The sequence below is a fragment of the Homo sapiens genome, chromosome 2, assembly GCF_000001405.40.
Source record: "Homo sapiens chromosome 2, GRCh38.p14 Primary Assembly".
NCBI lineage: Eukaryota > Metazoa > Chordata > Mammalia > Primates > Hominidae > Homo > Homo sapiens.
In genome coordinates, this window is record NC_000002.12 from 46,593,016 (window position 1) to 46,614,496 (window position 21,481).

The 21,481-nt window shown below is 36.4% G+C and overlaps 1 protein-coding gene and 1 long non-coding RNA gene across 5 annotated transcripts in view; one reads left to right on the forward strand and one right to left on the reverse strand.

Moving 5' to 3' along the window:
• Nucleotides 1-21,481, reverse strand: part of PIGF (phosphatidylinositol glycan anchor biosynthesis class F) — a 36,105-nt gene that overhangs the window by 12,079 nt on the left and 2,545 nt on the right. For all 4 annotated transcript variants that reach the window (NM_002643.4, XM_011532908.4, NM_173074.3 and 1 more), the window contains exons 3-4: nt 20,679-20,770; nt 19,213-19,329 (exon numbers count right to left, since the gene is read on the reverse strand). In NM_002643.4, the coding sequence (NP_002634.1) occupies nt 19,213-19,329; nt 20,679-20,770 (209 nt within the window). The remainder of the gene's footprint in view (nt 1-19,212; nt 19,330-20,678; nt 20,771-21,481) is intronic.
• LOC124906003 (uncharacterized) lies at nt 343-12,006 on the forward strand. Its single transcript, XR_007086307.1, has 2 exons — nt 343-3,221; nt 7,579-12,006. It is a non-coding gene; the product is annotated as an uncharacterized LOC124906003 (long non-coding RNA).

Sequence of the window (21,481 nt, forward strand, 5' to 3'; positions counted from 1 at the left end):
TTCAAAACAAAACTCAGATGCATCATGTTATAAACCAAGTTTTGCTTGTTTTTCCTTGTTAACAGCTGTAACAGTATTCCATTGTATGGATGGTGCATCATTTATTCAACCAGTCTTTCTTTTTTTTTTTTTTTTTCAGACGGAGTCTCACTCTGTGTCCAGGCTGGAGTGCAATGGAGCGATCTCGGCTCACTGCAACCTCAGCCTCCCGGGTTCAAGCGATTCTCCTGCCTCAGACTCCTGAGTAGCTGGGATTACAGGTGTGTGCCACCATGCCCAGCTAATTTTTGTACTTTTAGTAGAGATGGGGTTTCACTGTGTTGGCCAGGCTGGTCTCGAACTCCTAACCTTGTGATCCACCCACCTTGGCCTCCCAAAGTGTTGGGATTATAGGCATGAGCCACTGCACCCGGCCTCAACTAGTCTTTCTTACAGCACACTTCATTTATATAAACCAATTCAATTTACTTGGCAAGAAACAGGCAGAGAACAAGAACAAAGTATTTCAAAAGATCTGGTGATTCTGCCTACCGTTCCTATTTACTAAGTGCACATCTGAGAGTGTAAAGGTGGAAAGACTTAATTCTGCCATTCTCTTAGTAGGTGTTAGTTTCAGCCTGGCCCTCATAGGGTGAACACTTCATCATGTAGAACAGGAGTCTGGTTACAGTCAGGTAAAAGCCCACTGCAATGCACTAAGTGGGGTCCAAATATTCAATTGTTTAAATTGCAAGGTGAAGTTATTGAAAAGTAGCCTCTTCTAGATAGTATGGGGGAAAACATTTGTTTTGTTAGATGATTTATTTAACTAGAAACAGGCCAATTATTACACGCAAAATGTACACTGAATTTTAAAAGTCCCAAATGATGACAAGTCAGTTCACAAACCAATCCCTCTATCATCCTCCATCTCATACTCCCCAACTACACAAGATAAGAGCCTTAGCTTGTTTCCATTGAGAAGCAGGGCTAAGAACGGGCTGGAGCCAATCACATATATCCAAATTTGTACTATTTGTAGGGCTTTATTATTCTTTTTTATTTCATGTAACACCTATAAATATAAGTCAGCTTTTTCAACTAGCATTCAATAGAACAGAGATGTGTTCCAATGTTGGAAGGAAAAACTGGCCAAGTTCAATGTAAAGGGAATTGTACTATTTTAGCAATTTAAAGGATTTCCTAGGCCAATTTTTGACTACATGTGGCTGACAATGATGACTAAGCTTCAACTTAACACACACCTCCTCTATACTGTAATACATAAAGTGATGTGCCTGGAAACATAAGGTGTGGTAGAGGTTGAGAGCAGAGATTACTTTCTGTTGGGAAGAATTCACTTTTTCTATTTTATGGAACAGGAGGAAGTTCAGCTGGATTGGAAAGAATAGGTAGCATCAGGTCTTAAACTGGAGGACTGGAGAAAAGAGCTGCACTGCAGACAAGAGAACACAAGTCAGATTGCTAGAGGCCACGTGGAAGAACGAGAAATAAGGCTGGAAAAGTAGGGCAGAGTTAGGATTTTTTTTTTTTTTTTGAGACGGAGTTTCGCTGTTGTTGCCCAGGCTGGAGTGTAATAGAGTGATCTCGGATCACTGCAACCTCCACCTCCCGGGTTCAAGCCATTCTTCTGTCTCAGACTCCTGAGTAGCTGGGATTACAGGTGTGTGCCATCACACCAGGCTAATTTTTGTATTTTTAGTAGAGATGGGGTTTCACCATGTTGGCCAGGCTGGTCTCGAACTCCTGACCTTGTGATCCGCCGGCCTCAGCCTCCCAAAGTGCTGGGATTACAGGTGTGAGCCACTGCGCCCGGCCCTCACCGTTTTTTTTTTTGTTTGTTTTTGTTTTTGAGATGGAGTTTCGCTCTTGTTGCCTAGGCTGGAATGCAATGGCGCAACCTGGGCTCACTGCAACGTCCGCCTCCCGGATTCAAGGGATTCTCCTGCCTCAGCCTCCCGAATAGCTGGGATTATAGGTGGCTAATTTTTTGTATTTTTTTTTAGTAGAGATGGGGTTTCACCATTTTGGTCAGGCTGGTCTCCACAGTTAGGATTTTTAAAAATAGCTTTATTGAGTAGAGTCAAAAATTATCCTAGAAAATCCTTTCTAGCCATACAATTCACTAATTTCAAGTATACAAATCAATGGTTTTTAGTATATTCACAGAGTCGTGCAGCCATCACCACTGTAAGTTTTAGAACATTTTCATCATCCCCAGACTCTTTAACCATTACCAATCACTCTCCATTTCTCCTTCCTCCCAGCCCTAGGCAACCACTAAGCTACTTTCTGTCTCTCTGGATTTGCCTATTCTGGACATTTCATATAAATGGAATCATAAAGCATGTATGACTGGCTTCTTTTTCCTAGCATAATGTTTTCAAGGTTCATCCATGTTGCAGCATGTATCAATATTTCATTCCTTTTTATGGCTCAATCATATTCCCTTCAAGGGATATTCCACATTTTATCTATTCAACAGCTGATGGATATTTGGGTTGCTTCTACTTTTTGGTTATTATGAATAATGTTGCTATGAACATTTATGCACAAGTTTCTGTGTGAGCATATGTTTTCATCTCTCTTGGGATTACACCTAGGAGTGGAATTGTTAGGTCCTATGGAAACTCTTATATTTAATCACTTGAGGAACTAACTACCAGACTCTTCCAAAATGGCTGAACCATTTTATATTCCCACCAGCAGTGTATGAGGATTCCAATTTTTCCACACCCTCCTGACACTTGTCATTATCTTTTTTTTATTACAGTCATCGTAATTGGTGTGAAATGGTATCATGGTGATAGATTTAGGGTTAGGATTTTAGAAAATTCTTAAATATCAAACTAAGGAACCATGAAGGTTTTCAATCAACGCAACTTTACGATCAGAGATGTTTCAATAAGATTTATGTGGCTGGGTGCGGTGGCTCTCGCCTGAAATCCCAACACTTCAGGACGCAGAGGCGGGCGGATCACAAGGTCAGGAGTTCGAGACCAGCCTGGCCAACATGATGAAACCCCATCTCTACTAAAAATACAAAAAATTAGCTGGGCGCAGCGTCAGGCACCTGTAATCCCAGCTACTCGGGAGGCTGAGAACGGAGAATCGCTTGAACCCGGGAGGCGGAGGTTGTCGTGAGCCGAGACGATGCCATTATACTCCAGCCTGGCGACAGAGCGAGACCCCATCTCAAAAAAAAAAAAAAAAAGATTGATGTATGTATCTTTCTAACCTCTAAGTTCTAAGTTCCTTGGGCTAAGAGGCAAAATCCATGCCTTCACATTTTTCACGGTTCCAGCACACTTGTGGCCATCTTATGTTTATTAAAATAAAAAATATGATCATCCAAGAGGTTGCCCTCTATTTTGTGGTAGCCAAGTGTTTATGATCCTACATATAATAAATGTAGAAAAAATGGAACTGAGACCTATTTTTAAAAATAGAAAAACTCTGTAGCTTGTTTTTAAAGTAAAAATTTCATATTTATCAAAATAATATATGTGACATCTTTAAAGTAAAGGAGTACAATTAAACTAATAATAAAAATAGTAGTCTCCTCTTCCATCCCTCCCCACTCCTGATGTCTGCTCCAAGACAGATATTTTCAACTCTTTTTGCTGCTTCTTCTATTTACCTCAAATTAAAAAAAAAAACATAAATTAAGTATAGATTTTTCAAGATTAACTTACTTTCTGCCTTCTTCTAAGGGAGAAGATTTAGCACCTTTTATCTACAAGCTGCCTACCTCCACATACACATTTCTCCCTGACTCACGCCCCTTCTACAATGGTAACATCTCCTCCTTTCAACCGAATCAATAGTAATGTCTACGTTATGATGATTATAAAACTGCTAATCACAGTGAACCACACAGTAAACCACAATTATACATTTCTTTTCTCATAGTAAATATAATCTTTAATTGTCCATGGATGTTAAGAACTGCCTCTTTTTCCCTGCTCTGTTTGCTTACGTACCTGTCATTAAGTAATTTTCACATATTCCAAAGAAGCTAAGTAGTACCTCTAAATGCTTGATTTCTTCTCCCCGCTCCTTCCATCTTTTTGGAGCCACCTAGGACTGCTGCAAAACTGCTGTGCTGTGGGGTCCCTGCACGAGCATCTTGTGAATTCCCTTTGCCTCTCTCAGTTCTTTTGGATCTGCTCTTTCCTAAATTCCAAGACTTCCTCCATCTATCTTCCTTTTTCTTTTCTTTTTAAGCACCTCTTTCAATAGATTCCTGAGAAAGGAATTTTCTTTTTCAGCACCTCCTTCCATAGATTCCTGAGAAAGGGTACATGGAAAATAGATGCTTAGAGATGTTTTAAGTCTGAAAATGATTTTACTGTAATTTTTGGGAATCATTCTGCCTCAGAATTTGTGGGGGGTTTTTTGTTGTTTTTTTTTTTGAGGTGAAGTCTCACTTTGTCATCCAGGCTGGAGTGCAGTGGCACGATCTTGGCTTACTGCAACGTCTGCCTCCTGGGCTCAAGCGATTCTCCTGCCTCAGCCTGCCGAGTAGCTGGGATTACAGGCGCCTGCCACCATGCCCAGCTATTTTTGTATTTTTAGTAGAGATGGGGTTTCACCTTGTTGGCCAGGCTGGTCTCGAACTCCTGACCTCAAATGATCTGCCCACCTCGGCCTCCCAAAGTGCTGGGATTATAGGCGTGAGCCACAGCGCCTGGCCCTGCCTCAGAATTTGGAAGGCACTGCTCCAATGTTTTCTGATTCCCACTTGAGAAGTTCAGTGCCATTCTGGTTTCCCGTCCTCTGTAGGTATCATGTTTCTCTCATTCTCTAAAAACTTTTAGAATGATCTCTTTATTGCTGGTTATCAAAAATTTCACAAAAATGTTTTTTAAAGTGTTTTTTCATCCACTATGCTGAAAATATATGGGCCTTCTTAATCTAAAATCTCAGGTATTCTGGTTCTTAAAATTGTCTTCTACTTAAAGACCTTGTTTGATCAGATCACTTAAGAATTTTTCCCTTACTCTTGCTAGGTATACTATTATTTTGAACTAATTTCTGCTTTTATCTTTTAATTCATTTTGCAATCTTTACCTTTTTGTTTGACTAGGGAATCTTTTCAAGTTTTGTCTCTACTTCCGTTGAGTATTTTTATTCCCCAAAAGTTTTCTTGTTCTCTGAATATGCATTTTGACTGCCTCCTGTTCACCTTTTATGGTAAACTTTAAAAAAAAAAAGTAAGTTTTTAAGTTATCTTCTGTCTTTATATACTGCCTCTATTTCCCCTGAGTTTCTTTTTTGTTGTTTTCATTTCTGGATTTTATTTGACGTATTCCTCAAATATCTGGTGATTCTTTACTTCTCATTCTACTTAAAACACCATGTATGTAATGTCCAGACTAGGCAAATCTACAGAGATAGAAAATATATTAGTGTAAGCTTCTCTAACCCACGGCCCATAGGCCACATGTGGCCCAGGATGGCTTTGAATGTGGCCCAACACAAATTCATAAACTTTCTTAAAACATTATGAGATTTTTTTTTTTTTTTTTTTTTTTTAGCTCATCAGCTATCGTGAGTGTTAATGTATTGCATGTGTGGCTCAAGACAATTCTTTCCTTCCAATGCGGCCCAGAGAAGCCCAAAGATTGGACACTCCTGTAGTGGTTGCCTGGGCCATGGAGAGAAGAGTGGGAATAGGGTATGACTGCTAATAGTTATAGCTTCTTTTTGATGTGGTGAAATGTCCCAAAATTAGATTGTGGCAATGGCTGTACAACTGTGCCTATACTAAAAACCACTGAATTATACACTTTGAGTGAATTCTATGGTATACAGTTATATCTCAATAACACTATTTTTAAACAACAGCAACAACAAAATGAAACATTAAAACAGCTGACTGGATGCTTATAATTCAAGCACGGGGATGCACAGAACTAGGGACGGGGTAGGAACCTGACTTTCCTTTAGAGAATCCCAAAATGTCAGTACCATTTTCCCTCGAAAGAAATATTTCAATATTCTGCCTAGATGGTATAAGCCTGGCTCCCAGTACTTTGGGCCAACCAGGGGAAAGGGGCTAGGTGTAAGGTGGGAACTCATGGTTTGAGATGTAGGATTTCGTTTAAAACTTATTCCCCAAAGAGATTGTACCCAACAGGCTCAGTATCTGGGGACAGCTAGAATAGCTGGGATATGAAGGGTACAATTATATTTTCTTCACTTCTCCTCCCTGCACTGTTCAACTTCCATTGCTTGTATTAGTTTTTATTTACATTGTTCTACAACTCCAATTCATTCAATTATTTTCTTGATATAGTGAGTCCCTTTGATGTACAAACTGGAGAATCCCTTCATTTGTGAAAACTGTCTTCTATCACATCTTTGAATCATTTTTTGTTGGGTATTTTAGAGGCACTAACTAGTCTTGTTTGCATCCCTTTCATTTCTCCTCTATATTTATCACATCTTCTCTAAATGCTTTATTCTTCCCAACCCCCTCCCTACCCCGCATTCATTTTGATTAGCTCAAACCTTTCTTCCATGCTAAAACCTGACTTTCTAATTTGTCTGTTTCTTGATATTTTTAATTTATGTCCTGTAATAGTGACCTTTGCATTCTCAATTTATTTCACTAATTCTGCAATCTTCTTCTCCACGTCATTTTGTTTCATGATCTCATCTTTGCTCTTAATTTATTCAATTCATATCCTTAGTACTATTTTTCATGGTAAACTGTGTGGAGGTTTTTTTGTTTATTTTTGCTTCTAGGGTAGCACTTTCTTTCAGGCCAGATTCTTCATCTTCTGCACACCCCTTTTCCTTCTTCTATAGTGCATTTTTAGGGTTGTCATGCCGTTTCTTTTCTCTTGCTCACACTTCACATGGGCACACATCCTATCTTAACTAGCCCCAATTTTCCCTGTCTTGAAGCTGCCTTTTGAGGACTGGATGTTATTTTCTAATAAGTTTTCTGTAACATGAGGCAGGAAAGAGAATGGAGGTAGGGAGGCTGGGTAAGATAAATGCTATCTCTGTGATTCAGTTAGTAATATTCCACTGAAATTTAATAAATGGTGGTTCTATAATTGAGACTTAAAAATTCATGGCCAAGGCTTACGCCTCCTCTTAGAAATCAGATGAAGCTACTATAGTGCACAGTCTGCCCCCTTAGCAGATCCCTGTAGGTAGCAGCCCTGGTAGATTGATAAGAGGTAAAGAGGCCTGATGGGGAGTCAGGGAAACCTACACTCTATTGGTAGGAATATGTATGGGGGTATATACATATTCTTCAAATTATAACTTTAGTTTGACAGTGTCTGTTAACTTCCTTTGATCTAGGAATGTTACTCAAGTAATCTAGTCTACAAAAACCTTTGCACAAGTATACAAAATTATATGGAACAAAGATATACCTAACAACATTATTTATTATCATGAAAATTTGATATTAAACCTTAATAGGAAATTAGTTAAATAAATCATGGTACATGGAATACTTGTAATGATGATTAATTGCTCAACATTCATCTCAACCCTGATGATGAGACTAATTAATTAACTATTGATGATCCCATTCTGTTTCTCAATGATTAGGAAAACTCAAGGAAGAGAAACTGCTGCCATCCCACTACCAGCCTGAGGATAATAACAAGGAGAATCAGTAAGAAGCACAACCATACCATGACTATCTGTGTCTAGAACCATCCAATTTCCGTTATGTGACATAATCAGTTTCCTTATTATTCAAACCAATATAAGCTGAAGTTTTATGTTACTTATAGAGATACAGTAGCTAAGAATACTATGTAAGAAGAGGTAGATTATACACACACACAGATAACGATGTTCATAACACATTAGTGGGAAAAAAGTTATAAAGCCATGACTAGTTTAACTATTTTGTTTTAAAATTATATATATATAATTAATACAAAATTCGAAGAACATATAAAATCTGCTAGTTGTTCATTGCTTCCATGATAGCATTACTAGGATCTTTAACTTTCTATATTTTTCTGTTTGAATTTTTACTACAAACATTTATATACATTATTTTGTAATAAATAAGATAAAAAGAATAAAATAGGTAAATTCCTTTCTATTAACTAATTTCTAGCATCACTGACATTGATGTACTCTCATTTTGTAAGTTTCCATAATAAAGCTATTTGAATTCTACGGTTATTGGCTAATTTTTTCAAAGTTAAGGAATATATGCACAGTCAATAGGGCTCAGAATAAATAAATGGCTCCCCTGTGAACAAACTTAAAAAGTGACTACAGCAATGTTACAGGCCAGCCTTCATGACACTGTGCTCCAACTATTTGTCCAAATTATTTGACTCCACTGGAATTCATTACATCAAATATTAATTGAAGTAAACAGGCCATTTTGAGTGCCTACTACGTGCCAGACACTGTATCAGACACCTGAGGGTAGTTCATAGTAAACACTCATGGTTTAAATACACTGTCATCAAAATAGTGTTTGTTTAAATAGATTTAATTTTTTGAACTGCTAGTCTCTTCATCTAAAAAAGAGACACTGTACAACTCCTCCTAGTGGCTAAAGGTATTTTACAAAATTCTAATATAAATGTTTTCCTTCCCCACTGAATATTAAAACAAATGCCTCTTTGCCACTAAATTTTTTGCCCACATTTATACTAAATTATCTACTTTTTATATGAGTAAATCTTTGGTCACTCACTATATTTTCACTCTTAGTGTCCACAGTGGTTGCTTCAATATAAAATCTATTTCAATACAAAGATGACAAAAAGAGGCCTATTATCTTTGTCTACACAAATAGGTCTTATTGAATGTTTTCACCTCGGCTAGATCACTACTCTTGGCAAGATTTTTGTTTAGTACTATTCAGGAATCTATTTAGTTCACCAAAAGTGATCAACTTCTAACTTAAACATTCAAATAACAGCATAAAAGAACTGATATGTCAAAAAACAAGTTTCAATGAACTATATGGGTGTATAGTAGTCAGATTATTACTTTCCTTTATAAGAAAGTCTGCAAATGAAAAAAAAAATAATTTTAATGCCAATGCAATAACTGAATTAAATTAGTACAAACTGAGTATATTATTTAATAAGTATACCAATAAGAAGCTGGCAGAATATTTTAAGAAACCAAATGACCTTGTCTACTTCCAAGTTTCTTTATAATAGTATTCTTTTGTTTTGTTTTCCTGGAGTAACTTAACATTTACTGTAAGGAGAAATCCTGTTAAAATAGTGTCTTTTAGTTATGTATAAAATCCCAATAGTATCAGAATTGATCCTTAACTTGTAGGATGTAGTTCCTATACAGTTCACAAGCTCAAAGCTTTGTTGTTCTCTGTCGTCACATGACTATCATGTGTTCAACATAAGTTTTCTACAAACATGCAAATAAATACATTAAAAACTAGTATATAAACTTATTTCACTTAAAAATATTATACAACATTTATATTGATTCAACACTAATTGAGATATCATGCCAATTCAAAATTAGCCTGTTCACACTGAACATCTGAATTATTCACATTTTAATAATACTAAAAGGGCTGTCTTTAAGTTAAAAAAAATACACACAAAACTCTACTGTGTTTTACATATTAAAATACAGGATGAATGATAAAAATATTTAAAGCTCTAAAATCTTCAGTTGACACTTCAAGGTATTTTAAATACTTTTTATTAATTAGAACTACAGCATAAGAACTTCAAATTGAAATTTTAATTTCTGTTCTAAATTATTATTGAGTAGGAAAAAGCATGTACTATTCATGTATTTTGTACAATCTCCTTGAATAATAATAGAATTCTTTGAAATTAAAGTTGTGACTCAGGAAGTCCTAGCTAGAGCAATCAGATGAGAGAAAAAAATAAAGGGCATCCAAATTGGAAAGAAAGAAGTCAAATTATCCTTGTTTGCAGATGATATAATCGTGTATTTGGAAAAACCTAAAGACTACCAAAAACTATTAGAACTGATAAACAAATTGAATAAAGTTGCAGGATACAAAATCAACATACAAAAATCAGTAGCATTTCTATATGCCAACAGCAAATAATCTGAAAAAGAAATAAAAAAGTAATCCCATTTATAACAGCTACAAATAAAATTAAATATCTATGAATTAACTTCACCAAAGAAGTGAAATATATCTACAATGAAAACTATAAAACACTGATGAAAGAAATTGAAGAGGACACAAAAAATGGAAAGATATTTCATGTTTGTGAACTGGAAGAATCAATATTGTTAAAATGTCCATACTACCCAAAGCAATCCACAGATTCAATGCAATCCCTATCAAAATACCAACACTATTCTTCACATAAATAGAAGAAACAATCCTAAAATTTATATGGAACCACAAAGACCCAGAATAGCCAAAGCTATCCTGAGCAAAAAGAACAGAACTGGAAGAATCACATTACTTGACTCAAATTATACTACAGAGCTACTGTAACCAAAACAGCAAGGTACTGGCATAAAAACAGGCACATAGACCAATAGAACAAATAGAGAACCCAGAAGTAAATCCATACATCTACAGTGAGCTCATTTCATCAAAGATGCCAAGAACATACACCGGGGAAAGAGCAGTCTCTTCCATAAGTGGTGGCAGGAAAACTGGATATCCATACGCAGAAGAATGAAACTAGACCCCTAACTCTCGCCATATACAAAAATCAAACCAAGATGGATTAAAGACTTAAATTTAAGACCACAAACTATGAAACTACTAAAAGGAAACATTGGGGAAACTTTCCAGGACACTGGATTGGGCTAAGATTTCTTGAATAATACCCCACAAGCACAGGCAACCAAAGCATAAATGGACAAATGGAATCACATCAAGTTAAAAAGCTTCTGTACAGCAAAAGAAACAATCAAGAAAGTGAAGAGACAACCCACAGAATGGAAGAAAATATTTCCAATCTATCTATCTAACAAAGGGTTAATAACCAGACTATATAGAGAGCTCAAACAACTCTACAGGGAAAAAAAACCCCTAATAATCCAATTTACAAATGGGCAAAAGATCTGAATAGACATTTCTCAAAAAAAGACATACAAGTGGTAAACAGGTATATGAAAAGGTGCTCAATATCACTGGTCGTCAGAGAAATGCAAATCAATACTACAATGAGATTATCATCTCACCCCAGTTAAAATGGCTTTTATCCAAAAGGCAGGCAATAACAAATGCTGGCGAGGATGTGGAGAAAGGGAACTCTCACATACTGTTGGTGGGAATGTAAATCAGTACAACCATTATGGAGATCAGTTCTCAAAAAAACAAAAACAGATCTACCATATGATCCAGCAATCACATTGCTAGGTATATACCCAAAAGAAAGGAAATCAGTATATTGAAGAGATAGCTGGACTCCCATGTTTATTGCATCACTAATCACAATAGCCAAGATTTGGAAGCAACCTAAGTGTCTATCAACAGACTAATGGATTAAAAAAAAAAAGTGATACATACATGCAGTGGAGTACCACTTGGCCATTAAAAAAAGAATGAGTTCCTGCCATTTGCAACAATGTGGACAGAACTGGAGGTCATTATGTTAAATGAAATAAGCCAGGAACAGAAAGGCAAACTTCGCATGTTCTCACTTATTTGTGGTAGTTAAAAAAACAATTGAACTCATGGAGATAGAGAGTAGAAGGATGGTTACCACAGGCTGGGAAGGGTAGTAGTGGGGGTGGGGGGTGCAGAGAATGTGATTAATGGGCATGAAAAAGATAGAATGAGTAAGATCTAGTATTTGATAGCAAAACAGGGTGACTATAGTCAATAATAATTTAACTGTACATTTAAAAATAACTAAGAGTATAATTGGATTGCTTGTACAACCATACATACAAAAGATAAATGCTTGATGTGAATACCCTGATGTGATTATTATGCATTGTGTGTCTGTATCAAAATATCTCATGTACTCCAGAAATGTATATATCTACTATGTAGACACAAAAAAATAAAAATTAAAAAATAAAGTTGTGATTCAATATGAATAATGCTAACTACATATTGGAGCAATTTCAATATAACTAGTAATTCTTTGTGAATATTTATATTATCACTGCAAAACCATAGATCTTTGAGTTTTTAAATATTTTTGCTTAAAAGTGAACATTTAAGAAGGCAAACTCTAATGTTCAACGAGTTAATCTAATTATTTCCTAGCTTATTCAAAATTTGACATGCTTTCTATAGTAAAATTTGGAAGTATAATAAAAGTACTAAGAAGAAGTGAACTAACTCTAGTGTATGGTGGAAACATAAAGACTTAGATTCTTCTCTTACGTCAAAGTTCAAATTAACTTCACATTAAATTAAATGAAAAAACCAGCCCTCCTCCATAGTTATCTATGCACTGTGCTCCTTGGTCTGTCACCTAAACTAGGAAGAAATACTGAGACAAATTGCAGTAAGGACTGAAAGTATGATATATAAAATGCTCCCTGACATTTTTTAATCCATTCAACAAACATTTCTTAAGAACCTATTATTTGATTTCATTCATTTCACTCAGTTCTGACACAGCCCTGCAAAGTACATATTAGTTTTATTCTAATCATATTACATATGTGAAGTTAAGTAGCTTGTCTAAGATCACTTGGCCGCTAAGTAGTAAAAACAGGGCAAGAACCTGTTTTCTGATCCTCAATTACTGGAGTCGTCTAACTTCTACACCATCTAATGATCTAGATTCCAATCCCAGCTCTACTACTTCCTGGCTACAGAACTGGGGCAAATCACTTAACCTGTCAGCTTTCTAAGTTCTTCATCTAGAAAATGGTGAAAGTGAGTATCTCACTAGATTGCTCTGAGAAACTCTATAATGAAAATGCTTTAAAAGTTATTAAAATATTTTTGCATTGCTATTTCATGTCATGTGCTATGTGATATTATATAAAATGTTTCACATTATAAATTGATAATTTTTAGCCATAGTCCTCTGGAGACTAGGCTGTTCTCCAGTATGTTGGAAATTTTAGGACAACTTTTGCAGTCTACTGAAGTTTAGGTGACATCAGAGAAATCTAGCAATTTCCTGACATAAGCCTACTTTCCATAAGCAAGAAGAAAGTTAAGTACTGGCAAACTCTAACTCATTATAACTTTTATTTTGACTAGGTAGTACACTAATGTGGTTCAAATTTCAAAAGATAGCAAAGGATATTCAGTGGAAAGTCTCCTTACTTTGTCCTCTAGCTTCTCAGATCCCCTCGCAAGAGACAACAGGTTTTATCAGTTTCTCACATATCCTTCCAGAAATATACGTGTATCTGTGCCCTCTGACAACTTTTGACATAAATGGTAGCATCCTGTACACATTTTTTCACCTTGCTTTTTTCCACTAACTTATCGGTAAATAAAGAGTTTTGTTTTGGGGTTTTTTTCTGTTTTTATGTGTTTAGTTTTTACAAATGCATAGTACTTCACAGTGTGGGTTAAATTTATCCTAACCCTATCCCTTATTAAAGGATATTTAGGTAATTTTCAATGCTGAAATGAGTAATCTTATATATTCAACATTTTGTAAGTGTGCAAGTATACCTACTGGTTAAAATCCAAGAAGTAGAATTGCTGGGTCGAAGAAGTATATTTGTAATTTTTACAGATAGTACCAAACTGCACTTTACAGAGTTTGAACACTGGAGCTTGCTTCTCAAACCCTTAACACTACCATGTGACCCAGCAATCCCGCTCCAAGGCATACCCAAGATAAATAAACACATATGTCCATAAAAAAACCTATACACAAATGTTTGATGCAGCTTATTCACAACAACCAAAATGCAAAATGTGGAAAGAACCTAGATGTCCATCAACTGATAAATGGGTAAACAAAATTTGATATATATCCATACAATGGAATATTATTCAGCCACAAAAAGGAATGAAGTACTGAAGCATGCTACAACATAGATAAACCTTGAAAACATTATGCTAAGTAAAAAAAGGCAGTCACAAAAGATCACATAAGACCCAATTTATAACAAATTTCCAGGATAGGCAAATCTATAGAGACAGTAAGTAGATTGGTGGTTGCAAAAAGTCATTGAATTGTATATTTTAAATAGATGATGTGTACGGTGTGTGAATTATATCTCAATACTGTTTTAAAAAATAACCACCTCCCAGCTACCTCAGTTTACTACGTGTCATGAGCCACACATACGCACATCTGGTGTTAATTTTCCCTCAGATTTCCAACAACCATCTCATCACTTCGCAATAACTCACAATAGGCAACCCTTCTCATGTCTATTTCCAGAAGCAAACCTTTACCAAGGAAACCTTTTCCAAGGAAAAGTGCTATGTTTATTGTAATATTTGGGTGCAGGCATACCTTTTAGATACTGCAGATTTGGTTCCAGACCACCAGAATAAAGCAAATTGTACAATAAAGTGAGTCATATGTATTTTCTGGTTTCCCAGTGCATATAAAAGTTATATTTCTACTGTATCATAGTCTATTAAGTGGGCAATAGCATTAGTTTTTTAAATGCACATGATTTAAAAATACTTTATTACTAAGAAATGTTAATAATTATCTGAGCCTTCAGCAAGTTGTAATCTTTTTGCTGGTGGAAGATGTGGCCTTGATGTTGACGGCTGCTGACTGATCAGGGTGGTGGTTGGGGAGGCTGTGGAAATTTCTTTTCTTTTTTTTTTTTAAGACTGAGTCTCGCTCTATCGCCCAGGCTGGAGTGCAGTGGCACAATCTCGGCTCGCTGCAACCTCTGCCTCCTGGGTTCAAGTGATTCTTGTGCCTCAGCCTCCCAAGTAGCTGGGATTACAGGGGCCTACCAGCACGCCCAGCTAATTTTTCTTGTATTTTTAGTAGAGACAGAGTTTCACCATGTTGGCCAGGCTGGTCTCAAACTCCTGACCTCAAGTGATCTGCCTGTCTCAGCCTCCCAAAGTGCTGGGATTACAGGCACGACCCACTGCGCCCAGCCGGCAATTTCTTAAAGTGAAATTTTAACCATGAAGTTGGTTGCATCAATTGACTCTTCCTTCCAGAAAAGATTGATCTGTAGCGTGCCATGCTGTTTGACAGCCTTTTACCCAGAGTAGACCTTCTTTCAAAATTGGAGTCAACCCTCTCAAACCCTGCCATTGCTTTGCTTTATTAACTAAGTTTATGCAATATCCTAAATCCTTTGTTGTCATTTCAACAATATTCATGGCATCTTCACCAGTAGATTCCATCTCAGGAGACCATTTTCTTTCTCATCCAGAAGTAATTCCTCATCTGTTCCAGTTTTATCATAATGTTGCAGCAATTCAGTCACATCTTCAGGCTCCTGTTCTAATTCTAGTTCTCTGGCTATTTCCACCACATCTGCAGTGGTTTCCTCCACTGAAGTCCTGAACCTCTCAACATCATTCATGAGGAATGGAATCAGCTTCTCGTCAATGTTGATATTTTTATCTCCTCCCTTGAATCACAAATGTCCTCAATGGCATCCATCTAGAATGGTCCTTTCCAGAAGGTTTTCAATTTACTTTTTCCAAATCCATCAGAGGAATCACTATCTATGGCAGCTATAGCCTTACAAAATGTGTTTCTTAAGTAATAAGACTTGAAAATCAAAATTACTCCTTGATCCGTGGGCTACAGAATGGATCTTGTGTTGTAGGCATGAAAAAAACATTAATATTCTTGTACATCTCCAACAGAGCTCTTGGGTGACTAGGCACATTGTCAATGAGCAGCAATATTTTGAAAGGATTTTTTTTTTCTGAGCAGTAGGTCTCAAAAGTGAGCTTAAAATATTCAGTAAACCATGTTATAAACAGATGTGCTGTCATCCAGACTTCGTTGTTCCATTGACAGTATATAGGCAAAGTAGATTTAGCATAATTCTTAAGGGCCCTAGGATTTGCAAAATGGTAAATTAGCATTGACTTCAACTAAAGTCTCTGGCTGCACTGGCCCCTAACAAGAGAGTCAGCCTGTCAAGCATTGAAGGTGGCCACTGACTTCTCCTCTCTAACTTTAAAAGTCCTAGATGGCATCTTCTTTCAATAGAAGGCTGTTTTGTCTACATTAAAAATCTGTTATTTAGCCACCTTCACCAACAATCTTAGCTAGATCTTCTGGATAACTTGCTCCAGCTTCTACATCAGCACTTGTTGCTTCACCTTGCACTTTTATGTGATGGCGATGGCCTCTTTCCTTAAGCCTCATGAATCAACCACTGCTAGTTTCAAACTTTTCTTCTGTAACTTTCTCACCTCTCTCAGCCTTCACAGAAATGAAGAGAGTGAGAGGCTTACTCTGGATTAGGATTTGGCTTAGAATGTTGTACCTGGTTTGATCTTTCATCCAGACCATAAAACTTTCTCCCCATCAGCAGTAAGGCTGTTCCACTTTCTTGTCACTCATGTGTTTACTAGAGTAGACTAAATTTCCTTTAAGAACTTTTCCTTTGCATTCACAACTTGGCTATTTGGCACAAGGGGCTTCACTTTTAGTCTGTCTCAGTTCTTGACAACTTAACTTTTTCATTAAGCTTAATCACTTCTAGCTTTTGATTTAAAGTGAGAGACAAGTAAAATTTTCCTTTCACTTGAACACTTAAGAGACCATAGTATGGTTATTAACTGGCCTAAATTTGATATTTTTGTATCTCAGGGAACAGGGACGGGAGAGAGAGGGAGGGTGGGGAAGGGAGAGAGACAGAGAGAACACGTTGGTAGGTGAAGCAGTCAGAAGATGTACAACATTTATTAAGATCGTCATCTTATATGGGTATGAGCCATGGTGCCCCAAAACAATTACAAAAAGTAACAGCAAAGACCACAGATCACCATAATAGATATAATAATAATGAAAAAGCTTGAAATATTGTGAGAGTTTCCAATGAAGAGAACACATGCTGTTGGAAAAACGGCGCTGATACATTTGCTTGATGCAGGGTTGCCACAAACCTTCAATTTATAAAAAACAGTATCTGATCTGAGCAATATCTGAGAAGTACAATAAAGTGAGGAACAATAAAATGAGGTATGCCTGTATTTTGTAACCATTTTAAACGTGTAAAACTGTGCTACCATTTTTATTAAGTTCCCATCTTCTCTCTACATGTCACTGATGAATTGTTTTAGTGTTATGACCTAACCCCATCTTTCCCATAAGCTCTGTGGTTTTTACTGCCCATTTTGTACAGCGTAGTGATTTTTAGGAACACACAGGCCACATTATAGCAGAACTAATTGTAAAATCACATGACAGTATTTCCCCCAAATACACCCATTATTAGACATAGACTTGAAAACTGGAGAAATCACTAATCCAAAGTAATAAGATTTCAATCCAATTTCACTATTTAAAAATTTCAAACTAAAAGGCTAAAAGCAATTAATACCATTTGGGATATTATGGTAATAATGTAGAAAATGCTTTCAGTTGTTACACTTCTGTTTTCTAGAGACTTTATGAATATTAGAAGACGGTTCCAAGGGAAAACAGTACTGATTCCTTTTTTTTTTTTTTTTTTTTTGAGACAGATTCTCACTATGTTGCCCAGGCTGGAGTCCAGTGGTGCGATCTCGGCTCACTGCAACCTCCGCCTCCTGGGTTCAAGCAATTCTCCTGCCTCAGCTTCCCAAGTAGCTGGGACTACAGGCACCCGCCACCACACCCAGCTAATTTTTGTATTTTTAGTAGAGATGGGGTTTCACCATGTTGGCCAGGCTGGTCTTGAACTCCTGACCTCAGGTGATCCACCCGCCTTGGCCTCCCAAAGTGCTGAGATTACAGGCGTGAGCCACCACACTCGTCCCAAACAGTACTGATTTCAAAGGGAATAAGTCGGTAATTTATGAAGCCAAGCTACTCAGCATGCATCTTTTGCTCTCATTGGGCTGTTACCTTTCAAATCACACAAAAATACCCTGTTCATTTCAGTTTCAATGCTTTTATCCATTCTCCTTGCACGAGGTGCCTTTCTCTTCCTTCTTGGTCTCACCAAATCATATACTCTTGACTTAAGTCCATCATAGATCATTCCCATCTCCCCCTCCATTCTTTACTGATGCTCTGTCCCTTTGAGTTCCTACACCACTTATTGCTGGATTTACACATTTGTAATCTGATGTTATTTGCTCATTTTTGTCCCTTGAACAGATAAGCTCCTCAGCAAAAGAATCCTCCTAATAAGGCCGGGTGTGGTGGCTCATACCTGTAATCCCAGCACTTTGGGAGGCGAGGCGGGCGGATCATGAGGTCGAGATCAAGACCATCCTGGCCAGTGTGGTGAAACCCTGTCTCTACTAAAAATAGAAAAATTAGCTGGGCATGGTGGCATGCACCTGTAGTCCCAGCTACTTGGGAGGCTGAGGCAGGAGAATCACTTGAACCTGGGAGATGGAGGTTGCAGTGAGCCGAAATCATGCCACTGCACTCCAGCCTGGCGACAGAGCGAGGTTCCATCTCAAAAAAAAAAAAAAAGATTCCTCCTAATACTTCAGAAACCACACACAGCTTAGCATAACACAATAACACAGAGCACAGACTAAGTGCTCAAGAAGTTCTTGCTGCTGGGTGATAAATAGGAAAGAATCAAATAACCTTCTGGCTTTCTTAGCTAGATCTCCACTATTTCTGGTGCATATCATTTAAATGACTTTCAAGAAGCTAAAATTTTAACTTAGCCATGCTGAAAATATATACGGCCACCAAGGAAATGAAATCTCATAAAACTTGAGCTCTGGTATCTTATCACAAAAAAGGCTAAACAAGAAATTATCATTGTTACACAACACATTTTTAGATTGTGGACCCCACTTCTACCTTATAAAATGTATGTAAGCAATTTTATTTACAGCAGTCTTATCACAGTGCCAAATTATCCCAGAACCATGGTTTTCAAGGCTTTCTTTTAATAGTAGAATTTTTTTTTATTTCTTCTTCTTCTTTTTTTTTTTAAACAAACAAAAGGCTAGGTGGAATTCTACCATACAGAAAAAAGGAGAGCTGATCTTGCTAACGTGGAGGGAGGGGCTTGTAGTTCTGCCTGCCCTGTCCCCAGTCCCTAATTGCAGTGACCCCTTAAGGCATCTCTGAGCACCATCAGCAATGAGAAGCACTCAGAATAATCAGCAAACTGCCATGAATAGAAAAATACTTCATTAATTATTTTTTAATTTCAATATCATTATAATATAAAATTAAAACTTACCCATTTCTACTGAACACTCTTAGCCATGCTTTGAGGTTTGGTCCTAACAAACATAAGCAAGGCACAGTAGTAAAAGTAGACAAAATAACTGCAAATAAAAATGTTTCCAATGCCAACCTAGAAAAAAAAAAAGATTACTTTTTAAAAAAGTGTTAAAGGTAAACATACACATACATAATCTTTATTATATAAATAAAATGTGAAATATCTTCCTATGCTTTACTTTGAAAGGTAACATGAATGCCACCAAAATGATGACTATAAATAATTTTACCACCAACATGTAGCTTTAAAAAACAATCTAGCAAGTATTTCGCTTTAATGATAGATTTCAGAAGTGTTAAAGACCCTAGGATCCATGCTGAGACTTTCACTGCAAACACAAACAAACAAACAAAATCCATTTCTAGATAGTTAGCTTTCTGCTCAATAGTCTCTCTGGAACTTTCTCTACAACTAGTGGTTCAATACACTATTGAACCACTATTGAACCACTATTGAATACTAGTTGTAGTGGTTCTCTACAACTAGTGGTTAACATATATTGGAAACACCTGGAGAGCTGGATAAACTAAAGATTGGTGGGGGCTCTACCCCTAGAGTTTCTGACTGAAGCTTGAGTATTTGCATTTTGATAAAATGCTGATGCTGCTGGTTTGAAAACCACATTTTGAGAACCACTGTGCCAGACACATTCATTCTGCTTTAAAATGGATTAGACAGGAACCACCATTTTCCATTACAAAGGTCTTGTTCTCTCCCATCTAGAAAAGAATAACCTGTCAGTTTAGTGTGTGTACGTAAAACTATGTATAAATATATATATATATATAAAATGGTATACTTAGCAACACAAATATATGTGTGTGTATATGTATATGTATCTCATCACTCATTTCACCATGATCATTAATCACTGCTAAACTGAAGCTTCTCAAACTATGATAAACATTATGTAAGAAACATTCATGAATTTTGTTTCTAAGAATTTGAAATTTGTCAGTTCAGAAAAAGTGTTAAATTTTACCTTTAAACTATAAACACCAGCTTATTCAGTATTTGAATACAGGAATCTATTGACTTTTGTTAAGAAAAACTCCATTCAAGTACTTTAGAATCACATTTATAAGAACTGATATGCTAATTATAACTTACACATATAATCATAGTAAGTTCTTTCAGAGGTTCTAAGGGCCAAATACTTATTGGTATAGTATAGTTTCTCTACTCTCCCTTCTCTCAACATGCAATTGGATACTAGAAGGCTAGGTAACAAGAGTATTTAATAAATTAAGTTATTCTGCTGTTTTTTTTAAAAAAGAATAACACTGCTAATGATGTTGGTGTCCTTACTTGATCTATTAATGATGCACATCATGGTTTTTCTCTAGTTGCTAAGAATTAGCACACAGTTTGGTAAATGAATGTTTTAAAATATAAATTTAGGGTAAAAATTTCAAACTTACTCTATCAGTGGTGCTCCATACAGAACAAAAATTACATGAAAGGAGAAACAAGACATAAGAAAGTAGATACAGCATTTCAAAAATCCAGTTACCTAAAAGAGAAATGAATAACCTGAAGATTCAAGATAATGCTTAAAGGACAATAAATTCTTCCATTTCATCTACAAACACAACTTGTTCCCATAATGTGTAAAACAGTTCAAATGTTCTTGGGTATACTCAAATCAGATCACATGTCCTGTACCGTCACATACACAGCCTTCGATACAGACTAAAAAAGCCTAAAAGGCAAATACCACCTTCCGCCCATATTCTACCCATCCGACCTACATGAGTCGAAAAGAGGTTCTGTTTCCATGGTAATATAGAGCTATGTCATTAATCAATATTTATCAAATACTGATTGACATCAGAGAGCTAGGATACAAAAAATACAGTATTATGCGATGATAGAGGAAATATCTGCAGAAAATAACAATTTTTTTCATTTTAAAACAAAATTCCTGGGAAAACTGCACTGAAAAAGCAAAATACTAAATAATTCTTGAAATCACACTCATATTACACAACCCGTATGAAAAAAGACCTGAACATCTACAAAGAAACATGAGATCTTCTTGATTTGGAGCTTAAGAATATATAAACATAACACATACATTCAGCTTTTCCAATCATAGGCAGTAAATGACCTAACAGAGCTTATACATGGTAGAAAATAATGTTAAGTGTGGACATTATTAGTAATAGCCAAGTGAATATCTACTGCAGTGAATATTCTGGAAAATTGATTCTAATATCTGAAA